General features: G+C 42.9%; 1 long non-coding RNA gene across 2 annotated transcripts in view, besides 1 other annotated feature; it reads left to right on the top strand.

The window, feature by feature from the left end:
* Window positions 1-13,481, top strand: part of LOC105372889 (uncharacterized) — an 82,866-nt gene that overhangs the window by 52,383 nt on the left and 17,002 nt on the right. The gene's annotated exons all lie outside the window — the stretch shown is intronic.
* Window positions 2,466-2,666: a silencer, noted in NCBI's record as "peak670 fragment used in MPRA reporter construct". NCBI's record gives its function as "represses an SCP1 promoter by STARR-seq MPRAs in K562 erythroleukemia cells {active_cell/tissue: K562}" and the evidence as "EXISTENCE:reporter gene assay evidence [ECO:0000049][PMID:32103011]".

Consider the following 13,481-nt stretch of genomic DNA (forward strand, 5'->3'; position numbering starts at 1 on the left):
GTTAAAAAAAGAGAGAGAAAGAGGGTTATAGAAATCTAGTTAAAGAAATGCTAGATGTGAGAACTAAACAGAAAACCTGGTCAATCCATAATATCAGAGTGTTGAGAATAAAATAACTTCTGTCTGAAATTTGGAGTCGTCTTGGAAATCACCATTAAGGTATTGTACCTTAGGAACAGAGCTTAGGTAGACTAAGAAGGAATAGGGTAGGGCTAGGATCAGAGAAAAGTCAACTGGGAAAGCTGGTGCCTGAGGCTGAGAAAGGTGGAATACTCCAGATGAGGTGCATGAGTGTTGGAATCAGGCCAAGTTTGTTTTAATGGTGTCAGTGCTTAGCTGCTGTATGGCTTCAGACACAGTGCCTAATACAGGTATCAATTTGCTCATCTGCAAAATGGGGGACAGCTAAAGTTCTTATCTCATAGGACTGATGTCAAGGATAAAAAGATAATATACACCATTTTCATAATTCACTGCCTGGCATATTTTAAATTATATAACTATTAGCCAGTGTTATAATTTGCAGTATCCATGGGCATGGTGAGTCCTGTGCATCTCTTCCCTCAGCTGCATTGTCACGTCTGAGAATAATCCATCACTTCAACCTGCTGGGTGAGTGCAGGGCCTGCTAAAGAATCATCAAAGAGAAGGAATTCCAGACATGAGGGTCTGGAGTGAAAAAGAAAGGGAATCAGAAAACACGATGATGGAAATGGAGATACATAGTGAATTCTATTGTGGACAGCCAATGTCTGTCTACTCATCTATGCATGCATTGATTCAACAAATATGGTTGCATATATATTATGTGCAAGGTGCTGGAGATGAAGCAAAGAATAAGAGAGTTGTGATTTTGAGAGAAAAAGAAGCAGTAAAATTTTGATCAGGGCCATAAAGGGCATGAGGGAAAAATCAGGGTGATATGAAAGTAAAAGATGAGGAAACTCTTTCTGCAGAAATGACAGGTAAGCAGAGACCTGAAGGATAAGTAGGAGAAAGCCAGGCAAAGTTTGGAGCAAGTGGAAACAGCACATGCGAGAGCTCTGGGGCAGGAAAGACCTTGGGATCATTGGAGGGACTGAATTAAGACTGACTTGCCTGGAGCAGAGTGAGGGAGAGAGGGAGATGAGAATACAGCTGGTGATGCGGACCCAGGCAGATCACATCAGGTCATGCAGACAATGTTAAAGATTTAGTATTTATTCCAAAGAATTGTAAGACGGTAATGAAAGGAAAGCTAATAACATTTTTTAACAGGAAAAGAAGATCCCCTCTGTTTAGCTTTATTTACATGGCTAGATTTTCTTTAGCCAAGCGTTTGAGTGTTGCCCCAGAAGTTTCCACCAGCTAAGGTACCATGAGTGTCGAGGTCTTCACCACTGATTCCCCAGCACACTTATCTCTGGGCCCTGGGCACCCAGGAGATGTGGTCAGTGAAGCTTCTGGGGAAGATTCTTAGCCTCAGGATTGGATGCGGATGGTGCCGGTGGCAGGTGGTATGGTCCAGGCATGGAGTAGGGAGCAGCTGGAACTGGATCTGAGTTGGGATATCCTCATACTTCTATTCCAAAAGGTCTTAAACAACCCCAGAGAATATTTTGGATATGTGCCAATAAACGTATCACCAGAACAGCCAGTATTAATAATTATTGCAAAGCTTCCTCTGTATCCATAATTTGTTTTTCAATGACCACCTCTGTGATAATAGGCATAAAATTATTTAATAGCAGGTTTGAAGAGCTACTAACCAACATCTGATTAAACCACTTCTTTTGACAGGCAGAAATAACTACGCAAGTTTATTGAATGCGTACTATATCCCAGGCATGGTAATAATTGCTTCATATACATCACTTTATTTAATTATCACAGAAATCTTACAAGTTATTTATTTTTAAGCCCCCTTTTTTTTTTTTTTTTTTTTTTGAGACGGAGTCTCGCTCTGTCGCCCAGGCTGGAGTGCAGTGGCGGGATCTCGGCTCACTGCAAGCTCCACCTCCCGGGTTCACGCCATTCTCCTGCCTCAGCCTCCCAAGTAGCTGGGACTACAGGCGCCCGCCACTACGCCCGGCTAATTTTTTGTATTTTTAGTAGAGACGGGGTTTCACCGTTTTAGCCGGGATGGTCTCGATCTCCTGACCTCGTGATCCGCCCGCCTCGGCCTCCCAAAGCGCTGGGATTACAGGCGTGAGCCACCGCGCCCGGCCAAGCCCCTTTTACAGATGAGAAAACTAAAGACTAGAGCAGTTAAATAACTTACTGAAAGAGAAATAGCTCATAAGTAGTTAAGCTGTTTCTCTGCTTCTCCCACTTTCTCTCGAAGGACGAAGAGACCATGAAATTAAAGGGCTTAGAGTAAGTGGGGACTTGAAAGCAGGCCACACTAACACAAACACCACCACCACCACCACCACAACAAAAGGTGAAATTAATTTTAATCATATATTTAGTTTACTTGACCCTTACTTCCAAAATATCTTTTTGTGTGCCATCCTTATAAAAGTTATCCGTAAGATGTTTTACATTTTACATTCTTTTTTCATGCCCGCTCTTCAAGATCCATGGTATATTTGGTCACTTCCAACACATTTCGATTTGGCCTAGTCACATTTCAGGTGCTGAATAGTCACATGTGGCCAATGGAGACCGCACTGAGCAATGCGTTTAACTAGTAACCTATCTACAGTAACACTACTGAGTTTAACAAGTCATGGAAGTCGAGTGAGAAAATATATGTAATAAGTACACAGTCCTGTGTTTGGCACCTGGTAGGCCCTTTGTAACTCTCTCTCTTTTTGATTCCTTCCCTTAAATCACAAAATATTGAAGATATCTACTTGGAAATCTGGTCTTTCAATGATCCACATTAAATTCAGGAAAGTTACCATGTAGCATTTATCAACTTATTTCCATTTTGCTTTGTTATGCATTACATAGTTATGGGGCAGCATATTTCTTATCTAATTATGCTGTGTAGATTTTAATTCTGAAGTAAATTTTCCTTTTCTGACTTACGAGCAAAGAAGGCCCTAAAGCAACCTGGATGGCAGGGTGAATTCAACCTGAGGAAATAGATAGGCTTAATCATTGACATCGAGAGCCAATGGCCCATCTACCAGTGAGGATGGGGCAGATAAACACTCAGTTCTATGTGCACCAGGGGGAGAGCTAATTGGTTGTAGGATATTATTGGCAGAACAATTGGAAAGAAGCAGATGATTTCTTAGGGAGGCAGATCTGTTTCCAAAGTGGAAGATACAGGGAATAGGTAAATATCGCCCCCTTTATTGCATGGTCAGCTTTTTAAAATTATAGCATAATATCAATATGGGAGCTGGCTTAGATTAGAAACTGAGCTTGAACATGCTTCCTTTGATCTTTCTACTTCAACTTCCCTGTGCAGTACCGCACACTACCCTTCATTCCCACTTTCCTCTTTCATCTCCCTCCTTTGGAACCACCTCCAGTTCATTTGCCAGCCGATTTCATGATGGAGCAGAAGTGCCAATCAATCATTTGGCCATCAGTAGGACAGCATTCCCAATCTGCATTAGCCTGCTGGGCTGACTTCCAGAACATCATCTACTATACATGAATTATTACAGAAACATTATTGCTGTCAGCATATTCCACTCTATACAACTACCTATTATTATTTTTTTGGCGGACAACACTGAAATTTTAAACAGTTCAATCTTGCTTAAGTAATGTGAATTTGGTGGCTCCAGAAACAACTTTTTGCCTCATCAGTGAGAATCTGCCTGCAGCAGTGGTTGGGCTTAGATGCAGGGGAAGGGATGGGGGTCTAGTGCAAATGGAGACTTGAGACAGCTTGGATTTACTTTCCCCTCTCTGATTTCACCCACTTCCCAGTGTCATTTCTCGTCTCCTTTACTGTGGATGGTAAGGTGAGGTTTCTGGGCTCCTGATGTTTGGGTAACAGAGTCGAGGGAGCTGGGGATAAATCCGCTGGACACCAGCAGGGTCAAGGAGCACTGCTTAGGACTTCTCTCACCAAAGAACCTATGTGCTGAAGAGCCCTGGGTATAGCTCAGCTGTCTCTGCGACTCATGCTGTGATGGGGATCATAGATCTAGCTTGAAAACTCATGAACAGAATTAGATGATTTTTGTCTCTTTAAAAACTCGTCACGGCCTGGTACAGTGGCTCACGCCTGTAATCCTAGCACTTTGGGAGGCCGAGGCGGGCGGATCACGAGGTCAGGAGTTCAAGACCAGCCTGGCCAAGATGGTGAAACCCTGTCTCTACTAAAAATACAAAAAAATTAGCTCGGCGAGGTGGCGGGCGCCTGTAATCCCAGCTACTTGGGAGGCTGAGGCAGAGAATTGCTTGAACCCAGGAGGCAGAGATTGCAGTGAGCCAAGATTGCGCCACTGCACTCCAGCCTGGCGACAGAGCGAGACTCCGTCTCGAAATAAATAAATAAATAAAAGCAAGAAAAGAAAAGAAATAAAAGAAAAACTCTGTCACAAAATGGGTCATTTATCATTCTGGAGTGTGTGTGTGTATGTTGGGGAGCCCAGGGTCAGAGTGGAAATTCAGGTGCTGATACCTGGTGGGAGAAGGTTGTTAAATCAGATGAATCAGACACAGTCAGGTGATTCCTGACAAAAGACGGCAAGGGGAAAGCCCAGGGCCACAGCCAGTCAAGTGGAAAAGAACTAAGATACAAAAAATACAAAGAAGAAGGTAATTTCAAATCCCAGAAACCAGTCAATGTACTAAAGTTCAGAGATAAATAGAACCAGGAAGGGGAAGCAGAGACACAGATGCGTGGCAGTAGCAATAAGGACTCCAGTTGCTGACGCAGTCCTTGGCCTTAATACCTGGGCTCTTTATTTTCTTCCTGTGTGGGCGTGAGCCACGGTAAGGCTGGTCTAGGACAAGCAGGAAGATGCAATGAGAATAAACCGCCCAAGGCAAACTGAGGAGGTGGAAAGAGAAATGATCCTCGCTGCTGGTGTTTGCTCCCATCTGCATTCTGCTGCTTCCACCCAGAGGACGGTGGGGTTGAACATCAGACAAAACTCTGGAAACCACAGCCCTTCCCTTTATTTTTCTTCAGAAATCCCACATATTTAGTGTTTTACCATGAAGATGCTTAGGCAACCATTTGGGTTGCAGAAACATTTTCTGGAGCATCAGGGATTTCATGGTGCAAACTTGATCTAGGAGTCTCTGTCCCTTTTGCTACTTTTCCCTTCCTCAGACAGGTTCGTCTAGTGAAGGGTCCCACTCCAGTTCCTGAGCCAAATTCAGGACAGGTAGGTAGGACCTACACCAATAGTTTTTGTCCTGCATTGAGTGGAGAGTAGAAGCAATCCACTTTATGCAACCTTGGATCAAGAAGTTCAGGTATGCAAAGACTCCTGTTTTCCGTGTATTATATTTTACTCCTTGGTGGACCTCGAATCCCATGACCTAGGAGTAATCTCTACGGATTCAGTAAGCCACCAATTCATGGAGCTTCTTATTTCTTGCAGTACAGACTCGGTTCACAGGGCAGTCTTCTGTCTCTGGTCCCAGGGGCTTCCCTGAAAGCAGCCTCACTCTTACCTGGCACCTCCGGGATTACATCAGGGAGAAGGCGTTCTTAATCTTGAACTAAACTTTCTTCTGGCAGTTTTCACTGGGGCTGTGGGGCAAGGAGGTTGGAGGTGGAGCCTGTCCTCTAGACTGGTCTCCAGTTTAACCTTCAAGTCTAAGGCAAATTGCTGCTCATTGCCTTTGATAATTGTTCAGATTTCAATCACAGATATTAATGTTTTCTATTCAAATGCATAATAATGCTTGGCCAGTTTATCTGGTTACTGCCTTGGTAATCCTAGAGTCTTTATCGCTTCTGTGGAAAATAGATCTTGTGGTAAAACTTATTGCAAATGCTTTCCTGTGTGTATATGGAAGGGGCAATCCCAGCAAAGCACGACTGAGGTAAAAATGAACTGAGACAGGGTAGGAAGAAAATCAAATACAAGGTAGTGCATTGTCAAGCTAGCCACGGTGTCAACAGAAAACACAGCTTGGGCAGGATCAACCAGCCCAGATCCTACAAACTAAGGGTTTGTGTGTATTAACATACATGTTAAAAGAATAAAAAGGGCCAGGGGCAGTGGCTCACGCATGTAATCCTAGCACTTTGGGAGGCCGAGGTGGGCAGATCACGAGGTCAGGAGTTCAAGACCAGCCTGTCCAATATGGTGAAACCCTGTCTCTACTGAAAATACAAAAATTTGCCAGCGGTCGTGGTGCACGCCTGTAATCCCAGCTATCTGGGAGGCTGAAGCAGGAGAATCGCTTGAACCCGAGAGGCGGAGGTTGCAGTGAGCCGAGATTGCGCCATTGTGTTCCAGCCTGGGTGACAGAGCAAGCAAGACTCCATCTCCAAAATAACAATAAAAATAATTTTACATTTTTTGAATACTCACTATTAAGCAAGCATCATTCCCTATCCTTTATGGAGACTGACTCATTTGGTCTCTATAATAGTACTATTAGTAGCCCTGTTTCATGGCAGAGAAAACAGATGTACAGAGATGCTTGAAAGTGGCTGTGATAGTATTTAAATCCAAGGGGCTTTGTTTCAGAGCATACATACCCCAACCCTCCATCATATTGGCTTTCAGTATAATGAAGTGTTTTGCATATTAAATATTCCTCAGGTATTTATCAAAGGTCTCTGGAGCCATGGTGAGGGGATGCAGGACCCCTATAAAATCTACTGTGCATTTACGTCACAGTTTTTTCAAATTAAAATGCTTAGGAATTAAGTCCCATCAAGAGGGTATGTCTAAATTTTGGTTAGGTATATACAGGTTGAAATGTTGTAATGTGATAGAGGCAGGTCTTCCTAACCCTTTGGGTTAAATTCTATAGCCTCTCTGTTAATCTTCTCTTTGACAGCAGCCTTTTGGTAGTGCTGTTTATGTGTGTGTATGTGTATCACACACATACATAAATGTGTGTGTGATAGGACTATAGATGTGTGAGGTTCTTCAACCCACAAAAGTCAGCTGTACGTTGTGCCAGGTCTGAAGTTATAGCAGGAAAAGTCGGTGGGCCTGTCACTAGAAACCAGGTCTCATGTATGAATACTTTAGAAGATCAGAAGAGACCTTGTCAGTCTGGGTCAGATCTGAGGTTTAATGAACTTAATAATGATCCTCTCAGAGCACCCCAAAATATGCTGCTGAAGGTCTCAGACATGAGGTGAGGGAAGTCCTGAGACATCCCTTATTAAATCTGAAGGATCTTTCAGCCACAGGTTGATTAAGTATGAGCCTGGGATTACGTTAAAGTAAAAATTGCCAAAAACTAGACAATTACATTGCATTTTTGGTGCTATATGTTTATTTTCACTTTCTCTATGTCAGAAAATGAGGAACGGTCTGCTTTGTCTTCTTTCTCAAGGCTTTCTAGCTTTCTTCTGTTTTGCTTATTGCAGTCCTGGTTGGATAAACAGATATGCCCTGGAATGTCTCAGGAAACATAAATAGGGTGTGTTGGATTTGACAGAATATCACAAGCTATTTCTGTTCACATTGGGTTTTATTATTCTTCTTAAAAATATACATATATGTTAATATACACAAACCCCTCAAACCTTACTTTCTTGTGAAGTTATTTGACAATGTTCCTAATATTTAATAAATATTATCTAGGTCCAGTGATGTTCTCTAGTAACATATTAAAAAGAAAGTCTTAAAAGGCATTAGTAATACATTCTTGACAGATGATGTTGAAACAAGCTGTTCCTAGAGAAGATTCATTATAACATAGATTTAATATTAAAACAATGGACTTTATTCTCATCAACTGGATGCAACAGAAAGAGAAACAACTTATGAAACAACTTATGCTAGTGTGTGTGTGTGTGTGTGTGTGTGTGTGTGTGCAGGCTTGTGCCCAGAAGATAAATGAAAATCTTACAGCTGTATAGATCCTCCAAAAAGGGGTGATGGTGGGGGTGGTGGAATCGGACCTCGTAGGTAAAGCCAGCTACCTGTCTGGTCACACTTAGCAACTAACCTCTTATGTCATTAAAACTTAGAACTAGAATAGATTCCATGATTTTATAGATGAGAACAGTGAGGCTAGGGAAAGGAATCGCTAGTTGGAGATACAGCCAGGATTCTACCTTTATCCTAGGTCTTCCAGTAGCCAGTCGGGCCCAGATCATAAATCCTTAAAGTGTTCAGAAGAATGCTTGGAGGCTTAGGCTCTGCTTCTCTCTTTGGCTAAGGAATAAGTTTTAAAAATGCGTATTTATCAATTATTTGGACTCTGAATTTAATGCATTATTATATGTTCTTGGGCAATCTTTATACTATCCTCGGAATTCATAAGGAAGACTAATAAGCAAATGCTGTCCTCAGTTTCACAAAGGGGGAATTATAAAAACTATAGATTTGTGATCTTGATATACACTCTTGGAAAAATGCTGGAGTATGTTATTAAGAAGCTGGTCGATGAACACGTAAGAAAAGAAAGAGGTGATCACTAGAAGCATCCATGATTTTCTAAAAGCAAGACATGCCAATTAACCTCAGTTCTTATTTTTTTGGGGGGTGGACAGAGTCTTTTTTGGGGGGGGGTTGGGGACAGAATCTTGCTCTGTCACCCAGTCTGGAGTGCAGTGGTGTGATCTCAGCTCACTGCAAACTCCGCCTCCCGGGTTCAAGCAATTCTCCCGCCTCAGCCTCCTGAGTAACTGGGATTACAGGCACATGTTACCATGCATGCCACCACGGCTGGCTAATTTTTTGTGTTTTTAGTAGAGACGGAGTTTCACTATGGCCAGGCTGGTCTCGAACTCCTGACTTCATGATCCACCCACCTTGGCCTCCCAAAGTGCTGGGATTACAGGCATGAGCCACCACGCCCAGCCACCTCAGTTCCTTTTTTGACATCTTTACTAGACTGGCAGAAGGAGGGTGGTGATGGTAGGGCAGGTAGTGTAGACATAGAGAATGGCAATAGTGTAAGTCCTATGAAAACATTTCCCCAATAGCCTCCAGAATGACCTAGAAAATACAGGCTGTGTATATGTATTTGCAGCTATTAGGACAATGCCATTCAAAGACAGTCGATCTCTGGAATGTTATCAACAAAGAGGAAATTGTTTAGTATCAACTTATAGGTTTTTGTTTTTCCTATCCCTGTCGTGTTCCAAGTATTTATCAATGACTTGAATGAAACATTGACCATCTGCTTATCGAATTTGTGATGACACAAAGCAGAGGTCAGCTAATGTGACAAATGATATAAACAAGTTTTAAAAGAGCTTGCTATCTGGAAAGATGGATTGAAACTAACAAGATAAATTTAACAAGGATAAACGCAGAATCTTGGTTTTAGGTTTGAAAGAAAGCTTGATTTCACAAAAAGAGGATGAGAAAGAATTGGTCTGAGGGTAGTTCACTTCATAAATATCTGAGTGGATTTAGCTGACCATAGACTCTACCAGGCCAACATGGTATTAGGTTGGTGCAAAAGTAATTGCGGTTTTTGCCATTCCTTTTAATGGATAAAAATGTTAATTTTAATACATATACATTTTAATTTAATAGATAACAATGTTATATACTCTATCTATCTATCTATCCATCCATATCTATTAAGAGGATCTTATCTTCAGAGCAATCTGTCCTCTGCTGGAGAGGAGATCATCAGAGCACTGTAGTCAGTTCTGGGTTCCATGTTTACAAGAAATATTAACAAATAGAAGAACAAAGACCACTCTGAAAAGTGTTTGGACATCTTGTCAACTGAAGATTGATTGAGAAAGTCGACAGTGCATTTAGAAAAAGAACAGTTGGGGAAGTAATAACAACTGTCCTAGACATTTGAAAGCATCTCAAGGAGAAGATGAATGGGATAATTCCACTGTGTTCTAGAGGGCAGAACTTATGAATGGTGTGACAGGGAAGCAGATACTGACTCAATGTAAAGAATATTATTTTTTCAATAGTTAGAGGTATCTATATGTGGATAAGACAACTTTTGAGTTAGCCGGCTCCTGATCACTCGTGGGCTTCAAAGCAGAGGTTAGGTGACCACCTGAGAATCAAGATGCTGGTAAGAAGATTCTAGCACAGAATGGGTGGATAGACCAGAAGATCTCCATACTTGCTTCCAACTCAGAGATTCTGAACCCATTCCCTGGGTTAAGCTTTCCTAACCACCAAATGGTGCTTGGCCTTGACTCCCATAGCCACTGTTCACATTGTCCCCCGGCTTCCTCACTCCCTGTAACTCTGTAGAAGCAGATGGGGAAAGGAAAATAAACTGCTCTAGGGAGGATTGGGGTTGTCTGAAAGTTCTATGTGTTCCAGATCTCAGCCCTGAGACCTCCAGAAAGCAACTGCCCCTCCAGACAGCCCAAATGCAGGAAAAGATTTCTGAACTTCAAATGAAAAGGAGAACCACCACTTCTTTGAAGTGCATGTATCAAAGCTTTAATAAGAGCTAATAAAATTGTTATGTTGGGTTCACATCTCCTGAGAGCATCAAGTCAAAGCCTCCCTGGGGAAAGAAACTGTTATATAACTATTCTTACAATTTTTATTTTTTTTTGAAATGAATCTCTGATTAAAAGACCACAATAATTATTTCAGTTTAACGTAGAGTACTAATTCAATCGCAATTGATTTCTTCAGGTTTTATTTGCAACAAAGAAAGTGTCAAGTAGTCACTAAACACTGAACAAAAGATAGAGCCACCTAAGTGAGCAACCTGGCTGTGGGCAGATGGCTGTGTGTCCTTGTCTCCTGGGAGTCCTTCCTGTCCCAAAGCTTCTAACAATGGCAATAGTTAATTCTTTCATCAGTGAAGGGTTTAAATTTCCAGAATGATTTTACGTAGACAAGGACAAGCCGCTTCTAGGAGCCTGCAGGTGCACTGACCACTAGTCTTTGGAACCAAGGGCTGCCCATGGATGTGGAGGAGCAAAGGGTGAGGTACGTCACCTGCATACTCAGAACCAGTGCTGACAAAATAAAATGGTACCCAGCACCCAGTCAACCAGTAGGAGTTTTGGCAAGGAGCAGAACCCAGGAAAACTGATAGGCTATGTGCCAGTTATCATCCTAGAAAGTGGGTATGATTATCTCTAATTCCCAGCTGAAGAATAAAAACAAATTGCATCAAATGATTGCTCATGGCCACGCAAATATTAAATGGCAGCGCTGGGACTTGAACTCCAGGCAGTGTGATTGGTTCTCACTACACCTCATAGCCCCTAATGGAGTATAATTTCAGTCCATGAAGGGGTGGCCAATGAGATTCTTTCCAGCTTGGAGCATATGCACTCACCTGTGAAGATGCCTCAGACACCAAGCTGACATCTGCCATTTCTGATTCCCCAAGGAGAGGAGGAAGGGGTGTGCAGCCAGGAAAGAGAGGGGTTAAAGGCAGCAGAGCGCTAGGGAGGGCAAGTGCTCTCAATGACAGGAGAATGTACTCACACACAGCCCAGAGCTCTGGAGCAGCCTCCGGCAGAAAAAGGGCAACATTGGGGGAACACATGGAAAGGAGGGACCAGCTTCTGAAAGCCATCTGGAGAGTTGGAGGCAGGGAGGACTCCTTCCTGGTCTGAACCATTCAACCAAACTCTTAGAGGCACGGAAACTCCTTCCTATGACTTGCCAGGGTTCTTTGCCAGCAACGTTTCTGAGTCGAGGAAAGGGGCAGAAAGGGGAAGAGGGAAAATATGGGGAAGATGGAGCTGAATGGGATGCTTGTGAGAAAGCAAGGGGGAAGACACAATAGATTCTGCTCTTCCCTTAAAGGAAAGAAGCCATTCTTGGTTTTATTTTTGATGCATGGGGAAATTTTGAGCTTATCTTACTTACCTGATGTCTGTGCCTAAGAATTTAAATATTTGTGTCCTTTGGATAAAGCATAAATGCAGGTTCTGCTCCTGTGCAGCGAGGGACATCTAATCAGGGTGGGGGAGAAAAGGATTTCAGTGAGAAAATCCCAGGGAGCTTGAATCCTCATTAGCTCATCTCTTTGTCCTTGGCCAGAATAGTAGTTATTATCCCAGTTGGAGGAGGATCTAGTGTCTGGGATTTCAGCAAGTTCACGAATCACCTGGGGATCTTGCTGATGTGGAGTTTCTGATTTGGGAGGCCTGGGGATGGGGGATAAGATCCTGCTTTTTCTGCCCTTTCCCAGTGATGCAGCTGCTGCTGTTTCTGGACCACATTTTAAGTAACAAGGGGTCAATCAGTTCTGCAGAAAGGGAGCCTGCACTCCAAGGTCTCACTGTATTCACAGTCAGGAAGTTTATCTATTTGACGGAAATGCAGCATGGACAACTAGCTCTTATCACTCTGCTTACACCAAAGGTGCAAAATAGCTGGCGAACCTTCTCTTCATGTTGATCCTTTGATTCTTTCCAATTTTGTGGTGGAAGCAGGAGACAATACAATTCTTGGCAGGCTAGGAAGGGTTGGTTCCTGAGCTGCCCCTGTAAGCGTGGCTGGACACCACTCTAAATGACTGATTGGAAGGACAAATGTGGATGGAAATAATGATGATGGAGAGAGTTGGGAAAAGTCTACAAGTTGGTTTGGGGTTTTGCAAACATATGCTTCTTTTGTGTTCCATATTCTTTTCCTAAGGCTGATTCCTGTGTTGCTGTTGGGGGAATATGAACAACTGTGCACATCTGTCTCCTGGGCTATTCTTTGTGCTTAGCTGCCTTCCAGTCAGAATTGGGTTCTTTTCAGGCAGAACCCTTGGTAGGAGCATGTGGTGTGTACTTCTGTATGGGGAACCCCCAACTGGCTTCAGTGCTTTTAGATGGGTTGAATTAAGGGTCCATCTGCCCAGGTGGAAACATTCTGTGCTAATTTGGAGCAGAGGTTGAACCTGCATCGCAGTTCCTGCTTTCCAAGCCTTCTGGGAGGAATGTAGCAGGGACCTCTTCCCTTTGATTCTGCCCCTCACCCTCAAATCTCTGGTCATGATAATTTTTTCTCCAGCCCCACAAAACTATATATCTTCTCTCACAGGTCTCAGTTAGAACCTAGCTGGCCCTTTTCAGCACTAGGGCTTATGTGTCCTGTGAACATGACAGATTCTGCCAAGAAGAAATGACTTCTGTTTTCCTGAAACGGAAAGGTTCCTTAGATGACACTTCTCCATAAGGGCAGATCATGTAAACCCAGGCAGATTGCAGGGTATTAATGTGCTGGTTAGTCACCAAGCAATGGCCCCTTCTCCTATGGGTGCTCCCACCAGCCTTCTTTGACACTTACAGGGTAGGAAGCTACTCTGCACTTAGCAACTCATCCTTGATGCCTCAAACATCTAAACCTCAATCCTAGGAAACAGCTGGAATGAGAAGGACTTGACTAATGAGCACTTAGACAAGGATTCTAGACCAGACTTAGCTAGTCGTGAGGTTTTAGGTAAGTTACTTAACTCTGTATGACTCAGTTTCATTTCCTTGAGTG

Source organism: Homo sapiens, chromosome 1, assembly GCF_000001405.40.
Source record: "Homo sapiens chromosome 1, GRCh38.p14 Primary Assembly".
Taxonomy (NCBI): domain Eukaryota; kingdom Metazoa; phylum Chordata; class Mammalia; order Primates; family Hominidae; genus Homo; species Homo sapiens.